The following is a 24,868-nucleotide window of genomic DNA, read 5'->3' on the forward strand; positions in this document are numbered from 1 at the left end:
ACTCAGTGGCCTAAGCTTTCCTCAATGAGTCTGGACACCACTGGTGATCTTTCTGAAGCCCTCAGTAATCACGGCTGATGTGGATATTTTTTTGGAGACAGGGTCTCGCTGTCACCCAGGCTGGTGTGCAGTGGTGTGATTACAGTGCACCGAAGCACCAACCTCCTGGGCTCAAGCAATCTTCTTGCCTCAGCCTCCCAAGTAGCTGAGACTACAGGCACGCCCCCCCATGCCCAGGTAATTTTTGGATTTTTTGTAGAGATGGGGTCTCTCTATGTTGCCCAGGCTGGTTTCAAACTCCTGGGCTCAAGCAATCCTCCCACCCAAAGTGTTAGGATTATAGGTGTGAGCCACTGCGCCTGACTCACTTGGGTTTTAGAGCAGGAAGGAACCTTGGTTAAGTCAGATCATCAGGTCCAGCCCCCTCATTTGTTACAGTAACTGTGAACTGAGGTGGTGTGACCTGTTTGAGGTCATTTAGGATAGTGGCAGAGCTGGCATCAGGGCCCAGTCAAGCCTGGGGATGCTGTCATGGTTTTCACAGTTGAAAGTGTTCAGGGAGCTGGAGCATGGGGACTGGGGAAATGCAGTGAGAACTCCTCTGGCGGTTTACATGGGGGCAGTGGGCAGCTGGGAGAACAAAAGGCTCATCCTCTCAATGTCAGTCCATCCTGCTGTGTGGGACCACTGGGCTCCCCGGTTGTGGCAGGGGAGGTCTCTGGAATTGTAGCCCCACTGGGCTACGATCTGGGAAAGGCTGGCTGTGCCCACCTCCCAGAATTCTCTCTGCTTTGCAATGGTGACACTGCTCTGATCTGGCAGCCGCCGTGTGCTGGAGCTGGCTCATACTGGGTTGTGAAAGCTGACTTAAATTTTCAGGGATTTGGTGAGTCTGTTGTTAAACACAGCCGTTATTAAAAACTAAATGACGTAAATAATTAAATCAAGTGCTTTGTTAAAAACAAGGATATTTAACTCAAGGCTCATCACTTATTTTATTGAATTTTAATATTATCTATATTCTTGTTATTTACATTAACATTTTATCTATTTGGTAGAATTATTTATAACTATATTCTGTATAATGCAAAGTAACCTACTCTGTGTTCAGTAACATGTGGGTAGCTTGAAATTGGCTATGGCAGGAGTATTTACACCACAGAAACTGGCAATAACACAAATTGAGACTTTTTTCCTCCCCAAGTCAGTTCAACATTTGCCAGTACACCTTCTAGTGATTATTATTTTTTAATGTGGGGAAAAAAAAGCATTTGAACCGGGCTTCTTGCCTACTCACTAAAGGAATTAATCAGGGAAGGAACGAAGAATGAATAAGAAAGTCTTCTTTTTTAAAATTGTAAAAAGTAATATATCTCAGTAAAGAACATTTACAGAACATTTTTTATGGATTTGTGACTTATGTTTAAAAAGTTTTTTAATTGACCAACACACAGGTTAGGAAAAGAAATGAAATAAAGGTATTTTTTAAAATTATGGAATATATATGCAAATCAATATATACATTTCCACACATAAAGATTTTAATAAAATAGAAATCCGTGTACCTACCATTCAGCTTATGAAAAGAATTTTTGATGTTTCCTGTGTAAAAACTTTTTTTTTTTTTTTCTAAGAGACGTATTACCCAGATAAAACTATGGTTGATATTTTAGGGTTTTTCCTTCTAACATTTTTCTACACGTAGAGAACACTGAATATTTCTTAAAGAAAAAAAGTCACTTGAGACTCTTTCACTCACTGTTGACTAACAGCCTGAAAATCTGCGGTCAGGCAAAGCAGTGTTTTCATTTTGAAACTGAAACTGCTGTAAGATTAATTTCAACTTCCCTACAAATCAGAAATGTCTAAGTTACTTTAATTTAATATGGTCATTTGTAGCAATATTTGTTATTGCTAGGGGAAGTACATATTCCTTAAGTAAATTTTCAAGACTCCATTATAAATCTTTTAAATCCTCAGACCACAATGTTCATTCAGTCTGACATGCTCAACGTGGAAACATGAATATAACTCCACAGGGGGAAAATGTCAACTGCTGGTCCAGGGAGACTAGTTTCAACCACAAACTCAGGAAATGTACACTATTTGCTGGAACCTGGGCAGAGACTCCATTGCCACCTCACTCCATGGCCAAAACACCTGAGTCTAAGTGACCTGCTGGGGAAAAAAATCACTTGGCTTTCACTGGATCAGAGAACTCAGAAACTGAAGTGACCACTTGAAACTGCAGTCTCAGAAAAAACTGAAAACTCCAAGATGTGTGGTGTGATGTGGCTGTGATTATGAGACTCTGGAGAGGACACATGGTCCAGAGGCCTGCACTGCATGTCGCCAGGAGGCTTGTTCTGGGGCAAAGAAACTGGTGGCCTCCGGGAGTCACTGTATTCACTTTTGTGGTCCTAGTTTTTCTACCTGTTAAAATTGAGATTTGGTTTTATGGATATATGGAATACATCACTGCTAGGGTCCTTCCCAGTTCTAACAGTGAATGATTCCAGCAATAGCACTGTGCAGTATTTTTCAAACTTTGTTTTGACTTCAACCCATTATAAGAAACGTATCTCACGGTGCGACCTGGTGCGCTCACATGTATAAATAGGCCTGCAACCTGCAATTTTGAGATCTCCAAAGCTCTGAAACCTGAAATTTTTTAAAAATAAAGTTTGGCACTAAAACATCATTGGAAGGCAAACTAACCTGACTGGGTGAAAGGCTACTTACAGATTTTATTGTATTTACTGAAAATATTCATGTGTTTCACTGTATAAATATTAATGTACGTGATTATATGGGGCTGCCCCAGACCCTAATGGGGGTATTATGTAATATGAAGTATTTCTACTATATTATCTTTATGAAATCTAAAAAATTATGAATAATGAAACATTTCTGGACTCAAGGACAAGACATTTTAATATAAATATCTGAAACAGAAATTTCACAAAACAATCTTTACTACATGTGATATACTCTGTCATTTTCCTGTTCTATTTCATTTTAACAAAATATGATGGTCATGACCACCACATTGACTTCTTGACCCCCTGGGAGGTCATGGTCTGGAGTCTGAATATATTAGTGTAGCAGTTAAGAGGGTGGGCTTTGGAGGTAGACTGTCTAGATTCAAATCCCTGATCCATGCCCTGCTAGCTGTGTGATGACATTGGGCAAGTTACCTACCTAGCCTTTCGGTGCTGCCATTTTCTCATCTATAAATGGTGACAATGACAGGTCCGACCAAGGGTTGTGGTGAGGATTAAGTAAGTTAATATTCATAAAGCACTTAGAACAGGGCCTGACACTTCGTGCTTAACAAATGTCAGGTTCCTGGTTCATAAAAGAAGTGATTAACATGCTGGGCACGGTGGCTCACGCCTGTAATCCCAGCACTTTGGGAGGCCGAGATGGGCAGATCACAAGGTCAGGAGATCGAGACCATCTTGGCTAACACAGTGAAACCCCATCTCTACTAAAAATACAAAAAATTAGCCAGGCATGGCAGCATGTGCCTGTAGTCCCAGCTACTCAGGAGGCTGAGGCAGGAGAATGGCGTGAACCTGGGAGGCGGAGCCTGCAGTGAGCCGAGATCGCGCCACTGCACTCCAGCCTGGGCGACAGAGCGAGACTCCGTCTTAAAAAAAAAAAAAAAAAAAAAAAGAAGTGACTAACACTTGTACTGGAAATCTTAACTCGCAAACCTTTCACCTTCTGCCATCTACACTAGCATTTGGTTACTTTGGGGCACGGAATATTAGGATTTTAAATACTGCCATCATGAGTTTTGCTGATTCTGAAAGCAAAGAGCCACCTTTACTGATTCTGCAGGCATTAATGTTATTTTTATTTATTTTTTGGCTCACTCTGTCGCCCAGGCTGGAATGCAGTAGCATGATCATGGCTCACTAGCAGCCGTGTGATTTTCTCATGTCAGCCTCCTGAGTAGCTGGGACTACAGGCGTTCACCACCACATCTGGATAATTTTTTGTACTTTTTGTAAAGATGGGGTTTTACCATGTTGCCCAGGCTAGTTTTGAACTCCTGGGATCAAGCAATCTGCCCACTTTGGTCTCCCAAAGTGTTGGGATTACAGGCGTGAGCCACTGTGCCCGGCCCAGGCATCTATTAAATTGCAATGGTATCTATTAAATGGCAATCACAGGCAAATTCAAGAAGACAGATACAATAACTACTCATGAACAGAAAAAGAAGGTTCCTCTCATTAGACAACACGCTGGGGCCCATCTATAAACTCATACACCTCTTCTTACTTCCTGGCCTTGATTTCTAGAGTAGAACAAAATTATAGAGGGTCTTTCCAGCAGGACAGGCAACAGGAGACCCTCCATGCCATGAGCTGCTGGACTGACATCCTTCCATCCAGCTAAGGGCTGTTCTCTGCTTGGCAGATTCATCAAGTTGCACAAGGCTCTGACTTCGTCTGCTAGCAGACCCTCTGTAGAACATCACATCCAACTATGCTTCATTTGAAGTTCAAAAGCTTTGTTCTGCCTTTTCAATGGCCCTTTGGGCATTGCCATTTTTCAGCAAAAACAAGCTTTTGAGAAAAGCTGTGGGGAGTTGGCAGATGGGCCCTGAGATTCCAAGCACTCCCAAATCTGGTAATTCATTGCTCCAGATGATGGTATTTCTGACATGACAATCTAACCTTCTGAAGGACAGTCTAACATGGAGAGTAAGGATTTTTCTTTTCTCTGGCTGTTACTATGCAATCCAGGACAAGGATGGATAGAGAACCAGTAAGTAAGCAAAACAGTGCATGGCACATTTGAAATGTGGCTGTAGGAAACGGTGATGGAAATAATGGGTACATTTCAGCATGCAACCATGTGTGGCCCACATGTCAAAGGATCTGGCTGCTCTAGGTCTCAATGTAATGATGGCTTTCAGAACGTACATCTGCTAATAAATTCATGTGGCGGATCTTCTTATTTTAGCAGCAACTTAATTCCATAGTGAAGCTAAAGGCGTATTTGGTTAAAACAGCGAGTTAGTAAAACGACCTAGAAACAGCAAGTGGAGTAATCATTTGTCAGCACCCCTTCGTTAATAGAATGGCCTTTTTTGGTGATCTGGGAACTTAATAAATGTACTTTTCAGTAGAAAAGAGAAAATCTGGATTTCCAAATAACATTAATTTCAGAAAGTTTCTAGTAATGCTTTAAATAATCCTATGTTTCACTTCTTATCCCAGAGTTATTTCTGACTTCACGATCTGAGGCCCACGGGGTGGATTTTGAAGCTTCATAGAACTTTTGCAGTATCACCGAAACTCTGAGCCCCTTTTAACATGCTATTAAAATTCTAATGAAAAATAATAAAACTAAAAGCAGCACCAGGAAAAAAAACCCACTCCATTTGATCAGATCAGTTTGGCACTTAACTTGTAAGAGGTATTTTTTGTGATTTTTCACTTGACCTTTACAATGGTTGTGGATATAATCTGAGTAGTACACAGCTAATGAAATAGATTGTGTTCTTGGGTACCAAACTAAAACTGACAGACTTACTGCATTAAGAGAGACGTTATTTTCTCTCTCCTTTTCTTTTTAAGACAGGGTCTCACTCTGTCAACCAGGCTGGGGTGCAGTGGTGCCATCACGGCTCATTGCAGCCTTGACCTCCTGGGCTCAAGTGATCCTCTTGCTTCAGCCTCCCAAGTAGCTGGGACTACAGGGATGCACTTCCAAACCCAGCTAATTTTTGTATTTTTTGTAGAGCACCACATCCAAGGCTAAATTTTTGTAGAGGCAGGATCCCACTCTGCTGCCCAGGCTTGTCTCTATCTCCTGGGCTCAAGCAGTCTCGTTGCCTTGGCCTCCCAAAGTGCTAGGATTACAGGCATGAGCTACCCACGCCTGGCCTGTTTTTCTAAGTTTTCTAAGTTTATATATGACATATATGGAAGGATATAGTTCCCGGTCTTTGGAGAATTCTAATCTAATTTTGCATAAAATAAATAAATATGAGGGCAAGCCAATTTCATACCAAACCTTGTAGCTTATTTTGCTTCTAGATGTTCATTTCTTTCTTTCTTTTTTTTTTTTGTGGGGGAGAGGGAAGAAGAAAAGGTGGGGTAAGGATAAAAAAAGATAAAAGGTGATCTTTCCTTCATCTACTGTCTTGACAATCATATTTTATTTATTTTTCTTTTTATTTTTTATTTTTTTTCTTATTTTTATTTTCTTTTTTAAAGGCAGCTACAGTAAATTTATATTCTCTTTGGTATATTATAGTTTGGATATTCCATACCTTTTTTAGTATTTAAATAACATTGGGTTGCCAATTTTTATATTGCCATGTATACCTTATCTAACTACCATCTATCATCACCAGCCTCTAATTAAAAAGGAAAAACTACTTTAACATAAAATATAGGAAGAGCATAATCTTGGAATAAATCCTTTCTTGAGAAAGGCTTTCTTGAGAAAGATTCTTCTTTATTCTGAGATTATGATAACAGAACATAGGAAAAATCTACTTAAACTGTTTTGATGAAGAAAAGCCACAATATAAAATTTCATGTTATCATTACTTTATACTTGCATCACATATATATAGTATTATTTATAACATACTGTTTACAATTATTCTCTAGATGCAAATTTTTAAAAATATCTAAATGTGTTTTCTATTATTATCATTGCGAAAAATTCAGTTGCAAGGAATGCTGACCAAACAGAACTCTTAAATTTAGGTGGAATTGCTTGAAATATGCTAAGCAAACGAAAGAAGGCAAATACAAGGGCACTCAAATCCAGTAGCTTCTCCTTTCCAAGAGCTGGGAGGTGGTGAGCAAGAGCTGAGTGTCCTCTCACAGCTGGACACACAGAGGGGTGGTGAGGTGCTGGATGCCCCCGTTCCCTGGCCCCACATGCCCCAGGCAGACACTGCAGACCAGTGGAAACGTCCTCATGAACAGCAGCAGACTAGCAGCTGTGGTGTGGATAGCACTTAAGAACCACTTTTTTAAACCAGTAGTATCTTTTCCTAAATTTTGGCACTCAAATGAAATCCAGGCACCAAAGCTGAGCCATTGAAATAACAAAATCCCATTCCTGAATACTATGTCTTTGTATGTTCCCAACAAATATTGTATATTTTCTTCACAACTATGGAATGATATAGTCAATCTACCTTAATGAAAGCTTGCTCAGGCTCTGGCAATCACTCTTTAAAGTCACAGGTCAGCATAAATTATCAGTGAAGCAATTAATTTTGATTTACTTTAGCCTGAATAAAATAAACCATGGTCTTTTCCGTCATTGATGCCAAGAATAAAAAACACTTCTGAAAGCTACCATACCACAAGTCTTTGGTTTGGAGACCAATGGAATATCTTTCTCTTGGCAACTCCCTATCCTCCTTTCCGTTCCTTTTCTACCCTCATTGAATTGCAAATAACTATGGCTATTTCTTACACATGGTTTTCATTGCTAATTTGACATCCACGTAAAGACTAATGAACAAAACAAAGAAGCTGCACTTTACAAGGTTTTGTGGTATAAAACTACAAATAGCTTTTCAGTTTTCTTGTTTTGCCTCCTCTAGAAGTAAATTAAATGAGTTATTGAGGTTTCACTGTAAGCTGCTAATGAGATGATGCGTAACTTTCCCCATAAACTAGAAGAAATTTAAAAACTGAAGAGAAAGTTGCACTAAGGCTCTTAGAGTTTTAAATCCAGTATTCAGCTGGGAACACAGCCTGGTGGGTGAAAAAATCTAGGTTCTGAAGGCAAACTCTTAATCTGAGTTAGTTGGTGTTCAAGCTTAGAAAATTAATGACTCCTTCTCATCTTGGGGTCCTCCTTATAAAACAGAGGTAATCCTAACACCTACCTCATGGGGTTTATTATCAACATCTCATTGGATAAATGCATGAAAAGCCCTTGGCTCCACATAATACTCAATATATGTTAGGAGACCACTCAGAGTTGTGGTATTTCCATGGGTGCTGGCCTTGTGCTCCTGACCCTTTCCCAGGAAGGAGAAATTGTTTATAAATTTAACTGCCATCTAGGAGAATTCTTACATAAGAGGTAATTTCTTGGGGGAACCTATGCAGTCCACAGTTGGGCTAAGATAGGTATCGAAGCCTGGGATTGGACATCTCCATTTCCAAAGAAAAGTGCTTCTCTGATGTTGCATGGCCTTATCCTTAGGTGAATTCTTCTGACAAGGTGGGGTGGGTGACCATCAACATCCAGCTAAGAACAAGGGACTCCCGGGGAATCTAGCACCAGGGGGTGAGGCACACTGGAGGTGTCCAGTTAATTAAACACTGGGTTGAGAAAGGGGAGGAGAAGCAAATGAGATGGTAGAAGATTCTCAATGTGAGAGGAGGTCTCAAATAGGTAGGGTTTTTCTATGCCAGAGATGGCACACACAGTGGCTCTCGTGCCACTTAAATGCACTCTGCCCAAGACGGCCACACGAATCGATTACAGCACTCTTGCCTGTGCTGCTTTGGGACTCAGCCTTACAGTTTTCTTCAGCACTGTGCCCTAGGTAGTCACTACAAACCAATGAAGGTGACATGTAAGCTGAAAGTCTGTGCCATCGTGGACTTACACATTTTCTTCTATATCTACTGAGATTTCCACTAATACCCTGGCCTGGGCATTTGGTACATACTTTATCCCTTCTCAGAAAATCAGAGAACAAAGCTGGCAGACTGTAATATCTGAGAGAGAAAGTTGAGTATGTCTAAGACAAGAGCTGTCCCCAAGCTAAAGCAAGAATATTAGTGACATATTCAGATAACAGCATCTATTCATGAAATGTAATTATGTATGGGCCAACTGCTCAAATTTATGGTGTATATGAGACTTGTTTATACACAGAATAGCAGTCAGCAAATTAGCATTGTTGAAAGATAGAGCAGAGTTTACAGCACTTTTTCTTAAATGAAGTACTAATAATAAGACAGTAAAACTATTTTGGGGGCAAAGCCAGTTTCCAGCATGGGCTGTTCTGTGACAAAGCATGTGCATGTGGGCATCTCAAGCTTACAGACCTCAAGTCTCATGGGTTTTGGGGGTTGATTTTTTTTCAAAGTGATTTTTTGCCTTTTGTTGCAAGAGTTCAGTTAAACTACTTCTGAACTTAAAAGCATTAAATAAAATTCATGGACGGTCACTGATTTGGACTAAGGTTCTGCACTAGGCCCCAACTGAGCAGACCAAACCAGAATGGAGTTGCTCAGGCTAAACTTTGAAATGGGCCAGTTTTCCAAAAAAACAGGACAGTCACAGCAACCAATCAGAAGGGGCCCAGTTTACCTAAGCTGGAAGTCCCCTGTAAGAACAACAAATGACTTTAAAAGAACCAATGCACTTTTTGTTCTGTTTCTGCTTTTCTCAGCCCTTTTCTGCCTATCAGGCCAACCTCATCTACTCAGCTCATTGGAACACACATTCTATTTTATAAAATGAGGTGTTGCCTGATTCGAGAATCACAAATAAAAATCAAGTGAAGTCTTTAAATTTGTTGTAATTTTGTCTATTGACAAGTTTAGTTTTCCCTGTTATCCAGGAGGCTGGCACCTGTTGAATATGTTCAGGTATTATTAGGTTATTCAGGTAAGTACACACTTGAATAATATTCATTCATTCATTCATTCATTCAGAGGCAGAATCTCGCTGTGCTGTCCAGAATGGAGTACAGTGGCGTGATCATAGGTAACTGCAGCCTCGACCTGCTGGGCTCAAGCAATCTTCCTGCCTCAGCCTCTTGAGTAGCTAGGACTATAGTTGCACACCACCAGGCCCTGCTAATTTTGAATAACCACCCAGGCCCTGCTAATTTTGAATAACCACTTTCTTTTTTTAATTGAAGAAATGTGAAGTTCCATGCCTCCTCTTCTGCCTACTGAAGGTTAACCCAATTAGTCTGAGTGCTAAATATACTTGGTAAACTGTGAACTGTGTGTAAATCTTGGGTATGGAAAGGACGCAGATGTTGATGATGGTGATAATTTAAACTTTTTATTAGGCATAATTTCAAAAAAAAAAAACCCACCACTGGCCGGGCGCGGTGGCTCATGCCTGTAATCCCAGCACTTTGGGAGGCCAAGGCGGGCGGATCACCTGAGGTCGGGAGTTCGAGACCAGCCTGACCAACATGGAGAAACCCCCATCTCTACTAAAAATACAAAATTAGCCGGGCATGGTGGCACATGCCTGTAATCCCAGCTACTAGGGAGGCTGAGGCAGGTGAATCGCTTGAACCTGGGAGGTGGAGGTTGTGGTGAGCTGAGATCCGCCACTGCCCTCCAGCCTGGGCAACAAGAGTGAAACTCCATCTCAAAAACAAAAAACAAAACAAAACAAAAAAACAAAAAACCCACAACAACCGCCACAATGTCAATATTTTGCTATCTTATTTAAGCTTTCTCCCTTCCTCCCTTTTTAGGCCATGATTGATAATTCACATATTTTTCATCTTGTGTTCACATAATCACTTAAAAATATATACGGATTTTTAAAAATGGAAGAAAGGAAAGACAGAAGAGAACAAAGGGAAAAGGAAATTTTTCCAACATAGTTCCTGGGAAATACCTAACATAGATTCACAATTAAGATGGCCAGCAGCATAACCGCAGGGACACAACACACACTGCCAAATGCTTGCAAAGGAGGAGCACTGTTATATAGAGTCTATACCATTGAATGACACTGAATGTTTATTAATTTGAAAATATCAGCCAATGGTTCCCAACTCTTTCAGGTATGAGAGTCTGTTATAATGTCAAATGGTATGCTGTCTTGCACAGTATAGTGAGATTTTGGTGGTTTTTAAGTTAGAGGGAAAAAAGAATGACATAAAACCACTATTCAGTAATGCTTTGAAATCAATGTGTATTTTATAAGCTCTCCTAGCCACCTTTCCCCTACATGCTCCATCCCATGCACAGCTCCCATGCAAAGCCTGCACAAATTTATGGGTTATCTGGAAAAAAATTCAGGGGGTATGTGTGTGTTTAAATTTTTCAAGAATGTCACTACTTAACTGCTAATGAAGTATTTCTTGGAGGGGCCTCTGGACCTTCTGCTGATTTACAAGGAGCAGCCTTCATTTGCATGCCAAAGGCATGCACTAATCCTGGGCATCAGCTGGCTCCCAGGAATGCATGCGTCCCACAATCCTGTTTATCCTGCTGGTTTATTTAGCAAAGCTTTTCTCAGAGAGTACAGGCCCCTATTTCAGGCCAGCCAACCTGATTATCCCAAATCCCTAATTAGTGTAATTAAAGCTTTAATGGATTGCAGCCGGGATATAAACCAGGCAAACCCTCTTTAAAACCCATTACTTGCGTATGCAGGAATGGTCCACAGCAGAGGGCTCCTTTTTGAGTGACTGAAGGTCCTGGACACCTCTGCACCCAACACCCGGGCCATTTTTGGTGACCAGGGAGCCTCTTTCACCAAGTTCGTGTATGCAAACCAAGCGGTTGTTCCCCCCACCCCAAGTATCCACTGAAGCAATGGGCATTTTCAGATGGGGTTACCTCTCAATCATTACTGCACCAGATGCTAGCCTCGTGGAGATTTTCCTTCTGTTATTGTGCCCTGGGAAATGAGACAAATACCCTAACTAAAATAATTCCAACCAACTAGGAGAATCTTGTCAGACCCTGCCGAGCACTCTTATATTAACCATGATGCACAGAATTGCTCAGAACTTTTCCAACAACCAAACACCGAAGAGCTACAGCTTTAAGCCAGATTTAATCCATAGCGTTTTTAGGTGTTCCCAACGGTGTGCAAACTAACCCCTTCTTAAAATGGCTCTGGAGAGCATTCACATTATCCAAGCTTCAGGTGGATATCTGGATGTTAATATTAAAGAAGGAATAAGGGCAAAAGATCTATGACTTTTAAAGTCTTTTTAGTATGTGATATGCTACGTGCTTTATCATTATTACCTTATTTAATCCTCATAACAGCTTGCAAGGGGTTATCAGTCCTATTTACAGATACAAAATTGAGCCTTGAGACATCAGGTAGTTTGCCCAAGGACCCACAGCTAATATCATGCCATAGGAAAGTTACAAAATGCTAAAAGTCTGTGTTGTTCAATACAGTAGCCATTAGCCATATGAAGCTATGAACACCTGAAATGTGGCTAGTACAGCCAAGGAATGAAATTTATAATTTTATTTAATTTTACTTAATTTAAGTAGCCACATATGGCTAAGGGCTACCATATTGAATAGAAACATAAAATTTCCACGATCACAGAAAGTCCTATTGAGCAGTGCTGTTACAACTGATAAGAGCTCCATCTGGATACGCTGGGTGTGAAATGGTGGTGGGATACTCAAGGATGTGGACAAACAGGTCAGTGATCTAGATTTGGGAGTCATCCACCCAGAGGAGAAAACTAAGGGAGCAAGCAGGGAAAAGGAGGCAAAGGTTGAGAAGAGAAACTTGGGGAATACCTGCAGTATAAATGGCAGGAGGAGAGACTGAGTAATGGGTCTCATATATTTTTTTCAGACAATATTTTTATGTTTTTAGATGAACATCTGGGGTACAAACATTATTTAAGAGTGAAGATCTGAAATGAAAAAGTACATTTATTTATTTGAGTGTTTTATGCAAAGACGTCCTCTCAAAGGCATAGCATTTATATCTTCCAGCTCAGAATGGGGGTGTACTGGGAGCTGAAAAATGTTAATAGAGGACATAAGCATCACGTGGCTTTTATGCAATAAGTAGCTCAAATTCCATTTCAATCTGTTCACAAACCCTCCTAAATAATGGGATCCCAACAATTTGCTGAAATAAAACTCTAACATTGGTACCCGCTGTGAAGGGTACTTTACAATAATTTTCACTTACACTTCTTTCAGTTGCCTGGGGGATTCTTTGTGATGTTAACTGACCTTGTATTTCTTACTGTGTAACCAAAAACACCTAGAGAAAAAGTCGACTCCTTTTCCTTATTGGAAGTGAAAAGTCTGCTCACAATGCAGGAATTTTACTTGGGTAAGACCTGAGACCAAACTGGGTTTTCTCTTGGAGAGGGTGAGAAAAATCTTGGGGCTAGTTTACCTCCATACTCTGCATCCTATCGAACGATAGGAGTCCGAAACTCTCACTGACTTCAGAAGAAAATTTTTCACCCACCCCTATAAATGGAGGTGGGTGATGCAGAGAGGGAGGAAGGAAGAGGGAATAGTGAGAAAGGTTATTAGAATGGGCTGTTAAGATTAAGGTTAAAATTAAAACAAAAACCTTGAAATTTAGAGTTCTGAAAAGCCAATTAAGACATTTCCAACTTTTTCCCCCCTATATAATTTACAATGGGGCTTGGGTGACTATTTACAGAACATGTGGCCCAGAGCATGTGGCCCTACAATGCAGAATTTGGAAAAGAGGAATTCTGGGAATTAAAATGCAGAAAGTGCACAAACAGAAGGCCAGAGTTGCCTATGACAGCTGGGAAAAGACTGGAGACGGCCAACACAAAGCTCCCTTTCCCCTGTCATCACTCGTGATGGTGGCAGATACTGTTTCCACTCACGGTGCTGATGATACAGCTGACTCTGGCCTCATTTACGCAATTAACCACACATTCTCTGTGTCCGTATCGCTCCCTCGGAGAACATGAGGTATTTGTGAGGAGACATTGTATCTTTCAGGATATCTGGGAGCTACTTAGTGGGTAATTCACTGAATGCTACCCCAGTGTCTTTGAAAGAGTTAATTCACCTCCTGAGGGCCTCCAGAATCTGCCTCCTCATTAGGCCTTATGGGACCAAAGGGAGGTCAATACAGAACAGCATACATTAAAAAAAAATTTATATACATTTTTTATATATGTATATACATAGATATTTATGTTTACATATTATATATGTATTTATATATATTATATATATATATTTGTGTGTGTGTGTGTAGCCAGATTGAGATTTTCTAACCATACAATGTGTTAAGAAAAGGGAGGAAGAAAAAAACAACAAAAGAACCAGAAGGCCATACCTTTTGGACAAGTAGGACAGCGAGAAGGGAGGTCTTCTCTAGGTCTGTCTCATCTCCGCTGTCTGTGGGCGGAAGAGGGTGGGGAACAAAGAGACCCCACGTGAACAGAGCTTGGTGGGAGGGGCGCTGCGGAGCTAAGTGGTCAGCACAGCTGCAGGAGGAGTGGAAACCCCTTGCTCTCTTTCACACTGAGTCAGAGCACACTGGGTCAAGCTTGCTCTTACCCTCTATTCCTTGACTGATTAACATCTCCAGAAGAAGAAAATCCAACCCACCTATGGGAGCCCTTGCAGATGCCTCATTTCTCTTGCATTCAGGCAGTGAGATACCTTGGCCATTTGCTTTCTGACCTACCTTCTTCTTACTATAATTGAAGTCTAATTTCTCTCTTTCACTCTTAGTGAGTTGTTACCTAGCAGGGGCTCTTAGCAGAGAAGCAAAGGTGGGACCTGCAGGCAAGCCCTGTATCCAGCTTTACCACGTGCTAGTTATATGCCTGTGATAAGCTTTTAACCTCTCTGAGCTTCAGTTTTCTTATCTGTAAATGGGGGTTTCATTGATGTGTTTCTTTATTTCCACAAGTTCTGAAAGCACGTAAGGTGGCTCTTCAGGATAAAGATTTAAAGCACAGTAAAATCGAATGAATAAGAGGGGCGGGAGAACTGAGAGAGAACAAATCTGGGGACAGAGCACAGGGGCAGGAGAAACAAAATGTGGAGAGAACCGCCTGCTATCTGTTTGCTATGTGGGTTGAAAATTTTTGAATACTTGTAAACTGGAAAGTTGAGTCAACAATGCAAGGAATTGCTCCTAATATTTTCAGATGCTGTAACTCCATTTCACAAGTAGTTATGGAGGTACCTGTACGTGGGCTGAGGGGACATGGAGATGGGGACAGGTTCTCTGCTCTTCAAATGCTGCTAACAGCCTGGAATAGGCACCTGAGGGAGGGCACAAAAAATTCTAAAGCCAACTGTGGGGAGTATGTTATGCACAGCGTGAGGCCCGAAGCAGAAGACCACTGTGTATGGTTGGGCCGGGGGCTGTACTTTGGTCCTGGATGTTAAAAACTACTGTGTGTGCTCGTCAACCCCAGCTTCTGTTTTGTTTAGGTTTATATAAATTGTGGCAACCTTTTGTTGCCTGACTGCATTCTGATTTTCTCATGCCTTCAGCAGGACTGCCAGGGAAGTAGCCCTCACATCCCTTACTAAAAATGGAAACTCCTGCTCACCAGCCAAGGACAAGAGTGCTGTGTGGCCAACATTTACCTTGCAATTGTTACTAGATCTCCCATATAGATATAGCACTTCTTCAGAAGCACAGGGCAACAGTTACCTTTCATTTCCACACAGGGGCCTCTCAGGATGCTACAGTAGATCGGTTCAGCCTTGACTCCATCTGATGCCCAATGTCCCTACAGGAAACAGCCTTCTGGATTTCACAAGCCATGCACTGGGCTCCTCTGTTCTAGAACCTCCCTCTAGTGTGCTCATAGGACCTAGTTTATTCATGGCAGTAACCAGAGCGCCATTTACTTTATGTAAAGGATTTTAGCTGGTGAAGAAATGAGCCCCAGCCCTTAGGCGAGGATTAGACCCAGCCTCAGCAACCAATAAGATGGCAACCACCAGCCATTTTAGCTACAAATTACTGTTAAGAGTTTACTATGAGGATGATTCCTTCAAGCAGGCCCTATTAAAAAAATAATCACCATCTGCTAGACTCCCTTCTTTATTAAACTGGTCATTAATTACTGGTAACAACTAATTTTGTCTGGATTTTATTGAGTAATTATAAAATAAACAGGGAGGAGCTCAAGCTTCCTGCCTTGCTGAAGGCAGGAATTCTTTATAATGCTATGTTTCAAAAGGGGGCTGTAATAAATCACCAAATTCCATTTAATATGGTAATTATAATTTGCAAAATTCATCCTTCCTGTGGTTAACGAGTGCCTTCTTTCAGCTTAGCTCAGCCTGACTTCATCTTGGGTCATTAAATAGCAAACTAGTCTTTACTCACTGGTAACAATAGATCTTTCATGGGTTATTGCCTAATTAATCAAGGTGCATAATTTGATCGCTAGCACTTTTTAAAAAGTGTTATATTCCAGGTATCATATAACAATATGGTATTGCTGTAGAGTAATTAAAAATGAAGCAAGTTTTAATGTTTTGATTAGAACAGGTTTATTATCCTGAATAAGGTGAAGTGCAAAGTTTCACTGATGTTCTTCAACTACAACATTTAGGTTGAAACATTTGAAACAAGCCATTAATTTAACAACATGCTCATCCAAAACAAATCATAACTCATTTCTTTTTACTGCAAAAGTAATTGAGTAATGAATAATGAAAATCATCCCACTGAAAAGGGCAGTAAATATATTGACTTTATTATTAATACTCCATTTTGGTTAATAAGGCAGCTATTAAATTTGAAACATGATGGACCTGATTTATTGACTTATTCAAGGTAACAGTGAAATACTATCCAGTAAATACTGGGGTTCTTACAAGAGAAGATTTGATTCTGAAAAATTAAGTAGAATTCAACTGAAATTTCAGTTCATATTTAGAATGATTTGACCTTAAATCTCTTATCCCTGTACTTTGCTTGTTCCTTCAAAGAATTTAAATTGTGTGTGTGCACAGGGGTGGGTATGGGAGGCCTCAGAGGGCCTTACACCATGCACTCTAAACCCTAGTGAGCTGGAATTCTCTGGTGAAGTCAGTAGTGGCTTGATCATTCTTAGACTCTCTCCAAAAGGAGTTCATAATAAAATACCACAAGGACATTAGTTACACCTAAAGGATTAGTTGCAGCCTAAGTCTCAAACCCAACATTTCAGTGATGGTTCAGGGAAAAGAAAAAAAAAAAATGTAAAAGGGATCAGTGGAATTTTTTTTCTCCTTCAAATAGGATTATTTATACTAATATGAATACTTGTTATTCATAGTACTAAGTTTCTTTGAAACCAAGTTAGTGTATACTGAACCATTGCTCCTAGGGGAAATTCAAGGTTAGGTTCCTGCAAGCCTCTGGCCACAACATTTTCCTCAATGGACTAATACATGACCTTGTTTTAGGTGTGTTTCTGTTTAAACATACCTTCTGTAAATACATATTGTTGATTCCTTGAACTCAGGGCCAACAGTACTATGACTCATGCTGGTGTAAACTTACCTGACACATATTTTCTCCTTAAGTCACCTCACAGCCTTCTTGTGCTTAGGGACTCTAGATAGCACTTCAGCGCTATGCTTGGTGCCATTTTTAACAGCAAGATCACCAATAAAAAGCTCAAAATGCAAACAACATGGCACTAAATACAGTGTGAAAAGGACATGCATATAATATAAGAGCTGAAACAAGAAAGCAGAGCACTGCTTCGCTCAGCCTCAGCTGGGAACGTGTGCACTGGTCAACTCAAAAATCCCACCGCTCTGTCCATGTCGGTGAGTGACTGTGAAAGCACCACAAGTAGTGATTTGGGGACACAAATACATTTTAGTGAGAAGGCAAATTTACAAACACCTAATCCACAGATAATAGCAACTGACTAGGCCTGGCACAATGGCTCATGCCTGAAATTCCAGTACTTTGGGAGGCCGAGGTGGGAGGATTCCTTGAGCCCGGGAGCTGGAGACCAGCCTGGGCAACAGAGTGAGATCTCACCTCTTAAAAAAGAAATAACCGATTGTACCTTAAACTACAGGCTCTTACTATGCATTCACCCATGTATTATATTTGCTTATCCACAATTTGGGGACATTTCAAGTGCTTGTCAAACATTTTCTTATTTATCTGCATATTTCAGAGAAGGGCTTCATTTCATTAAGTGGCATTAGGTAACATCCTGAGTTTGCTTTCCATGGAGGCACAGTCTTCTCTAAAGGCAATGAGGACCTGTTCCAGCGTGCCTCTCCTCACTCTCAACTCTGGCGTATTTCTCCTCAGGTTTCACTGGCTAGAACTATATCACAATATTGTTTACATCAATCACTGGCATGAGGAACCAACTGCTTCCATTAGCTTAGACCACAGTTCTGACTCAGTAGGTCTAGGGTGGCAACTAATAATCTGCATGTCTAACAAGTTCCCAGGTGATCCTGATGCTGTTGGTTTGAGAACCACGGAGTTTAGACAATTTAAGATTTACCACCTGAACACACTTATGGCCCTTCCAGCAAATGAGAACAGGAGGGAGAGTTTTAGGTGGAAACAGGCAATGGAGCTCTTCTACATGGTCTTTGCAGACTTTTGATGTTTGCTGAGACACTGGTCAGGGTACCTGCGAGTGGGGAAAAGTACTGCAAAGAAGGCTAGCAACATGTATACCAGTATTCAGAAGCCAAGCAAGCTATTTTAAGATCCCTGGAAGGTAAGCTGGAGATTTTCATGCTATGACAAGTTTGCATAGACCGTTTTATTTACTCTAAGCATTGTATTCTGGCTAAAGATTACACAGAAAGATGTGGCAGTCACTGATGCTCTTTCCCACATATTTCTGACTCTCCACTTTTGGGCCACATGATGGTACTGCACTTCTTTGTTCCCCTTGAGGTTACATACGGGCAGATGACTTGATTTAGAGAATGCACAAGCGATGATGAACTACAGTGGCACTTCCTGCTATAGTGATTACAGAATGTGGGTTGAGATAAAGCTTCTATCAGACTAGGTTCCTGAGTGAAGGAGCAGGGCCTCTCTAATGAACCATGGTGGACACGCAGAGTAAGCAAAAAATAAACTCCTGTTGTGTTAAGTCACTGAAATTTGGGGATTTGTTACTGCAGTATAATCAAACCCATCCTAATACAAAGGATGTAAAACTTTTATACTGCACTTTAATTATTCGTTTTTTTCCTTTAAGCTCAAATGCCCCTTTAAAAAAAATCCTGATTACCCTTCAAGCTCTGGCTTGAGTTACATCTTCATCATCACTCCAGCCAACATTTATCTCTTTGTGTGAACAACAATTGCAACTCTAAGAAAAATCACGAGGTTTAGCACTTATTTTATAATTGCCCATATATATTAGTATCACCTCACTGACTATATCAGAGACTTAGGAGGGCAGAGTTCATGTTGTAGGCATCTTTGTACCATCTTGAGCAAAGGAGGAAAATGAGTAGTTTTTAGATAAAATCTAGCTGGAGAATGGATGTCAATATTTTCTAGTATTTCAACTTTTCCATGTGTTATTTGCACACAGTCAGGCAGTTATTGAGCACATATTGCTGCAGAGTTATACAGAAAATTTGAGAGCAGAGTTGCAAGTAGCCACGTGCTTGCTTCATTAACTGTGCTTGTGGCAATTTTTACCACCTGTGCAAATTTCCATTTCTCTGAACAATCTGACTATACATGTCCTGTTCACTCCCTCTTTCCAAAATGAATTAAGGAGAAGAGAAAACAGTGGTGATAAGAGAAAAAAAAAATCAGCTAGTGAGATTTAAAACAAAATTTGGTGAGCTTATACTAAATTGCTGCTTAAATATGGGAAATGACATTGATTGTTGAAAAGAAATACAGCCTAAGTTTCATTAACACCAATAACCTAAACATGGGACTTTGTGATGTTATCTGGCCTAGTCCTTTGTCTTCAGATTTGTGCTTTCAAGCATGCAAAGTATCATGGTTCTTAAAAGTTAAGAGGCTGACTGAAGGTCCCTTGCTTACTAAGTGATGAAGGTAGCACTGAAACACAGGTCCTAGTAATGGGCAACTTTAAATACTCAACACCTGTGGGTAGACTATCTTGTTAGCATGAAATGTAAAATTATATTTTGAAGAATTACAATTTTTGAGCTCTTAGGAGAGGAAATGCTCAACATAGGTGTGTAGACTATCTCATTAGCATGAAATGTAAAATGATATTTTGAAGAATTATGATTTTTGAGCTCTTAGGAGAGAAAAATATTTTGAACCTGGCCCCCCATTGTGAATAGAAACTAAAATGGGAAAATTTGGAGAAATAAACCAATAAGGAATAAAGATCATAAGTCATTCATGCTAAAACCTGTGATGAGAGTTAAAGAAAAGTCATTTAATTTTTCAAAGGTAAACGGAAAATGCAAGCATGTCTACAATGCCTTAAAGCTCAGTAGCTGCTTATCTTGTCAAAAATGTAACTATCAGAGCTGGATAACACAGAACAAGCATGAGGATGCATTTTACGATGATAAGGTAGCAACAGGAAATAACATATTTATAATCAATACAATAGTGCCAAATTTGCTTGGGTGAAGTCATACAAAAGAGGGGTGACTTATGGTTACAAAAGGAAGGAGCAAGCTCAGTTTTGTGCTATTTGACTACAGGAGTGCTCTGGAACGCCAAGGAAGATTGGACCAGCAGTCCAATTCTACCCACACCATTTATTAAATAATTAATACGTAATCATTTCAAAAAGTACTAGCTGGGAACTGGCTCTAAATCTAAATATCACTAATGACAATGTATGTAGAGGCAAATTCAATCCTGGTTTCCAAACAACTTTACAATCAACAACTTGTGGAGTTTACTCTGTGTGCAAGTTGTATTACTGCTTGCACCTTGGAATCCTCCTTCATTGCTACCCTTAGAATCCAAGCTAAAGGGACTCTCTTACAGGAGTGAATGCCTTAAGGGAAGTGCCTTTGGTGTTTGAGGAACCAAAAGCTCCTGGCCCTGACCCAAAACTAATCCACATTATTGTAAGGTACATCCAATATTAAAGGCACTATGGTGATGTTTTAGTACAGTGAGTCCTTAGCGTTCCTTAAAACTTCAGCTTCATTTGGCAACTGATGCCTCTTGGGGAGCAAAATTACTTACATCATTAAAACTTCATCAAGTCATAATTTTATTATAATTGTTAACATAAATAACTGCAGTAAATAAGTACAGAGTGATCGATTTGTTCTTGATATCTCAAGGGAGTCTTTATTTAGCTTTGATATATAAAATCAGGACATTATTTATTTGCATTACAAACTGCATATCAACTATTCACTTGGGCATGTTTTAATTGGTTTTAGGTTTTGCACATTCCATAACTGAACTGTGTAAGCAGGTTGGCTTCAAAAATAAGGTCTCATGTAACAGCTAAGTCTATATGACGATGTGTCATATGGCGTGTCAAACATTTTTCTGCTTTCCTCTGCTTCCCATCCTGACATCAGAAAAAACTTTGTTCTAGTGAAATAGAAAATAAATTCTGCTAAGATGGGATAAAAGGGGAGCATGTGAATAAGACCCTCTTCTTTCCTGGCCAGCAGCAAGTGCCTCCAGCTGTCTGATCTGCCTCAGTAGCCCAGCACAAATTTTTTAGTTGACTAATGCTCCCCACTTCCGCCGACAACAGAGTAAGATATCACCTGCTAAGATAAATTACCATAATATAATGATTGAAGGGAAAATATATGGTGTAATAGAGAGGTCTAAATACCCGTAAGTGGAAAAAAGCATAAACGACCATTTTAATTAATTTCCTAATGTAAAACACAGCTGTAGTAATGTTGGCAAGTCTCACCTGCCCGTTTTAAATTTGTGACATGAAATCATGCCACTTAATTAAGTCTTAATGCACAAAAATATATTTTATTTACTTTTTATGGAATACCAGCATTTAAAGCTTTCTATTTATGTGTGTAAGCGCTTTATAAATTACTTGAAATACTGAAAAAATCTGACTACTACTAACCGGCAGTTACAAGTACCAGTTTTAGTTTCAATAATTAAATGCCTTTTTGGTGGACTCCTGCTGCTATGTGAACTAGCTGTAGGCTATTAAAGTAATGAGTCCGGACAGAGTCATCTGATCTCATGGTTGGTGGAAAACTCAAGGAAAAGGGCTTTGCCCACAATTCCTAGTCTGTTTACCAGACTGCAACCAGACTGCCTGCTGGAAGCATTATAAAGCCTCTGGGCTTCCCCTTCCCCCTTCCAGCAAGTATCTTTTTTTTTTTTTTTCCTTTTTACAAGTGTTGTCTAGGAAAATATGGTATTATAGAGCCCTCTGCAGGCCAGAAGTTTTGTAGTGTAGCTTACCAGCATGATTTTTCTTAAAGTGGCAGTAAGAGAGGGGAAAAGCATAATTGTCAAAACTTCGTAAATCAGATCTCATTAAGAAATATGTTTGTCATAAGGGCAGACTGGCATCGATTCTTCCAGAAGACTCACTGAAAAAGAGCATCTCTGTTAACTTGTTTAAGGGATGTTGCCTTGATAGCAAAATTTTGGAGGGCCCCTGGTAACTTCATAATGGGTTGCAGTGTTAGGGATTATATCATCTTCATCATCATCGTAATTCTTAAAATAATCCATGAAAAATACAGGGCTCTGAACTGTTCACTTAAAAATGCAATTTCTGGCCAGGCATGGTGGCTCAAGCCTGCAATCCCAGTGCTTTGGGAGTCCGAGGTGGTAGGACTGCTCGAGACCAGGAGTTCAAGATCAGCCATGTAGTGAGATCCTGTCTCTACAAAAATAGAAAAGTATTTTTTTAAAAAAAGAATTTATATCACACCTGGGCTTTAGAAGCCTAGGTATAAGGAAGAAGAAATTAGAAGTCAGTTATACGAACTCTATGATTTCCTCAGCCAAGTTTTCATTCGAATGAATGAAGTGTATGCCTAGAAAAATTCAGTGAATTTCTTAAGTGTTTTAGGGAACTTAGTATAAATTTTTACAGGGCATTTTATATTGTGTTTTAAACTTTTTGGATGAAATGGATATAAATCATTACAGAAAGAAATACATAAAGATAAAAATGAGGAAGTGCATTGAAGACAAACAGAACAAATAAATAAGGTCTGATTTTCATTTAGATGGTACTTTTCGAACCACATTTTATGTTGGTTATAAAGTATTCTTTTTTTGTTGGAGACGGAGTCTCACTCAGTCGCCCAGGCTGGAGTGCAGTGGCACGATCTCAGCTCACTGCAACCTCTGCATCCCAGGTTCAAGCAATTCTCCTGCCTCAGCCTCCTGAGTAGCTGGACTGGACTACAGGCTCACACCACCATGTCTGGCTAATTTTTTGTATTTTAGTAGAGACGGGGTTTCACGGTGTTGCCCAGGCTGGTCTCGAACTCCTGAGCTCAGGCAATCCGCCCGCCTCGGCCTCCCAAAGTGCTAGGACTACAGGCATGACCCACCGCGCCAGGCCTTATAAAATATTCTTAAAGTCAGCAAAATAACCAAATAACTTAAAGTCAGCAAAATAACTTTTAATAGGAAAATTTTTCCTAATATTTTCAAGTCAGCAAAAGTACTAACAGCTTTTAATAATGGGTTTTTTTTTGCATAATAGTCAAGAGAGTATTAATTTAAAAGAGGAAGCATTTGACCAAAATATTTCCTTTTATTGAGTTTAATCTGTGCCAGGTAACTCATAAACCTCCTGGAGCACCCAGAGATACATGCTTCTAACAACTCACAGAGGTGCCAGAGCCGTCTCCTCAAAGTTCCTCACCCTGGCAGTAAAACATTATGATCAACATTCGCCTAGAAGCCAGGATAAGTGGAAGAAATGGGAAGTGATATGATGATGAAAAGAATCAGATATTGCATATGTTAAAATTTCCTTCCACAGCATTTTAATCATTTAACAGGGTCTCTTTAAGGACCCGAAGGGAGTTATGAGGAGGCCGTGGTCTGGAGGCAAGAACCCAGGCTGTGGTTGTTGGCGGCAGTCTCCAGATGAGCCTCAGCAGCTCCCTGGGGACTCTGGTGACATTCTAAGACCATGCCTTCTGTGGTTGTTTAGCATAACTGACTGCTGCTTTTCCCAAGGACAGCCATTTGGTGTTGGAGGTTTTTCTAGTCTTCTCTACTCAGTGGTATAGACAAGACCAGCATGTCCTTAGGGTAATGTCTGCAAGGGTTTGGGTTCCAGTAAAATGACTCTTCCAAACGAAAACCCGAAATTAAAACGTCGAGTTTCCAGATTTGTTGAATTCAGAAACAAGTGCTCTCGGCATGAACTGTCAACAGCCAAAGTTAAAACAGGCCAGCTGGTGGCTCCTGTGGGATCGTCTCCACACACTCTATCCCAACTTTGCAGAGTTGAATGTCAGACATTATTCTATCAGGCCTGGAATCCGCTGCCAGACTCAGCCTCCTTCATCCGGCTTATCTCCTACTGGGAGGCTGTGGCTGACTGGATGGAACTGCACACTTCCCAGCAGATGTTGGGCTGCCAACGGATGGGAGCATGGCTGGGCTGGCGCCGCCAACATTTACAGTCATTCCTCTTGCTCCATTCCCCCTGCAGCCCCCCAGCCCTGTCCCACCAACGCCTGCTTGCAGACTTGGCACACTAGGAGAGGACAGGTGATGAGGATTAGGCCAAACGTATTTGCATATCGTCAGCACAGGGAAGGAAATTAACACCACAGTGACATGATTTAGTGGCTAACCTTAAACCTGAGAAAGGTCTGAACCAATTTTTGAGCACTATGAGACTGAGGGAGATGTAAAATGCAACCCATCTGGCAGGGATGGGCTTGTCCAGGGTTAATGGAAGAAACAGAAATGAATTAGTTTGAGTATGAAGTGTTGTTTAACGTTCACTCACAAATTATGAGTGGGCCTTATACTTGGGCACAAGAAATGCCACCTTTACTGTATTCTTGTGGGATGGGGACGGGGACTGAAAATGGTGGGACAGTTTTCATGATCATTTTCTCCTCTGGCAGCTGTATCACAATCTTTTGAGACCGAGTCTTGCTCTGTCGCCCAGGCTGGAGTGCAGTGGCGCCATCTCGGCTCACTACAAACTCTGTCTCCCTTGTTCAAGCAATTCTCTGCTTCAGCCTCCCGAGCAGCTGGAATTACAGGCGCCCGC

General features: G+C 40.5%; 1 protein-coding gene across 5 annotated transcripts in view, besides 1 other annotated feature; it reads right to left on the minus strand.

The window, feature by feature from the left end:
- Nucleotides 1–24,868, minus strand: part of JAZF1 (JAZF zinc finger 1) — a 350,219-nt gene that overhangs the window by 68,784 nt on the left and 256,567 nt on the right. The window contains exon 3 of one of the 5 annotated variants that reach the window (XM_047420027.1): nt 14,032–14,093. The exons of the other annotated variants lie outside the window; for them this stretch is intronic. The gene's annotated coding sequence lies outside the window, so the exon portion shown is untranslated. The remainder of the gene's footprint in view (nt 1–14,031; nt 14,094–24,868) is intronic. 5 annotated transcript variants of the gene reach the window in all.
- Nucleotides 23,797–23,846: an enhancer, noted in NCBI's record as "active region_25793". NCBI's record gives its function as "activates an Ori minimal core promoter by ATAC-STARR-seq in GM12878 lymphoblastoid cells {active_cell/tissue: GM12878}" and the evidence as "EXISTENCE:reporter gene assay evidence [ECO:0000049][PMID:35858748]".

The sequence above is a fragment of the Homo sapiens genome, chromosome 7 (genome assembly GCF_000001405.40).
Source record: "Homo sapiens chromosome 7, GRCh38.p14 Primary Assembly".
Taxonomy (NCBI): Eukaryota; Metazoa; Chordata; class Mammalia; order Primates; family Hominidae; genus Homo; species Homo sapiens.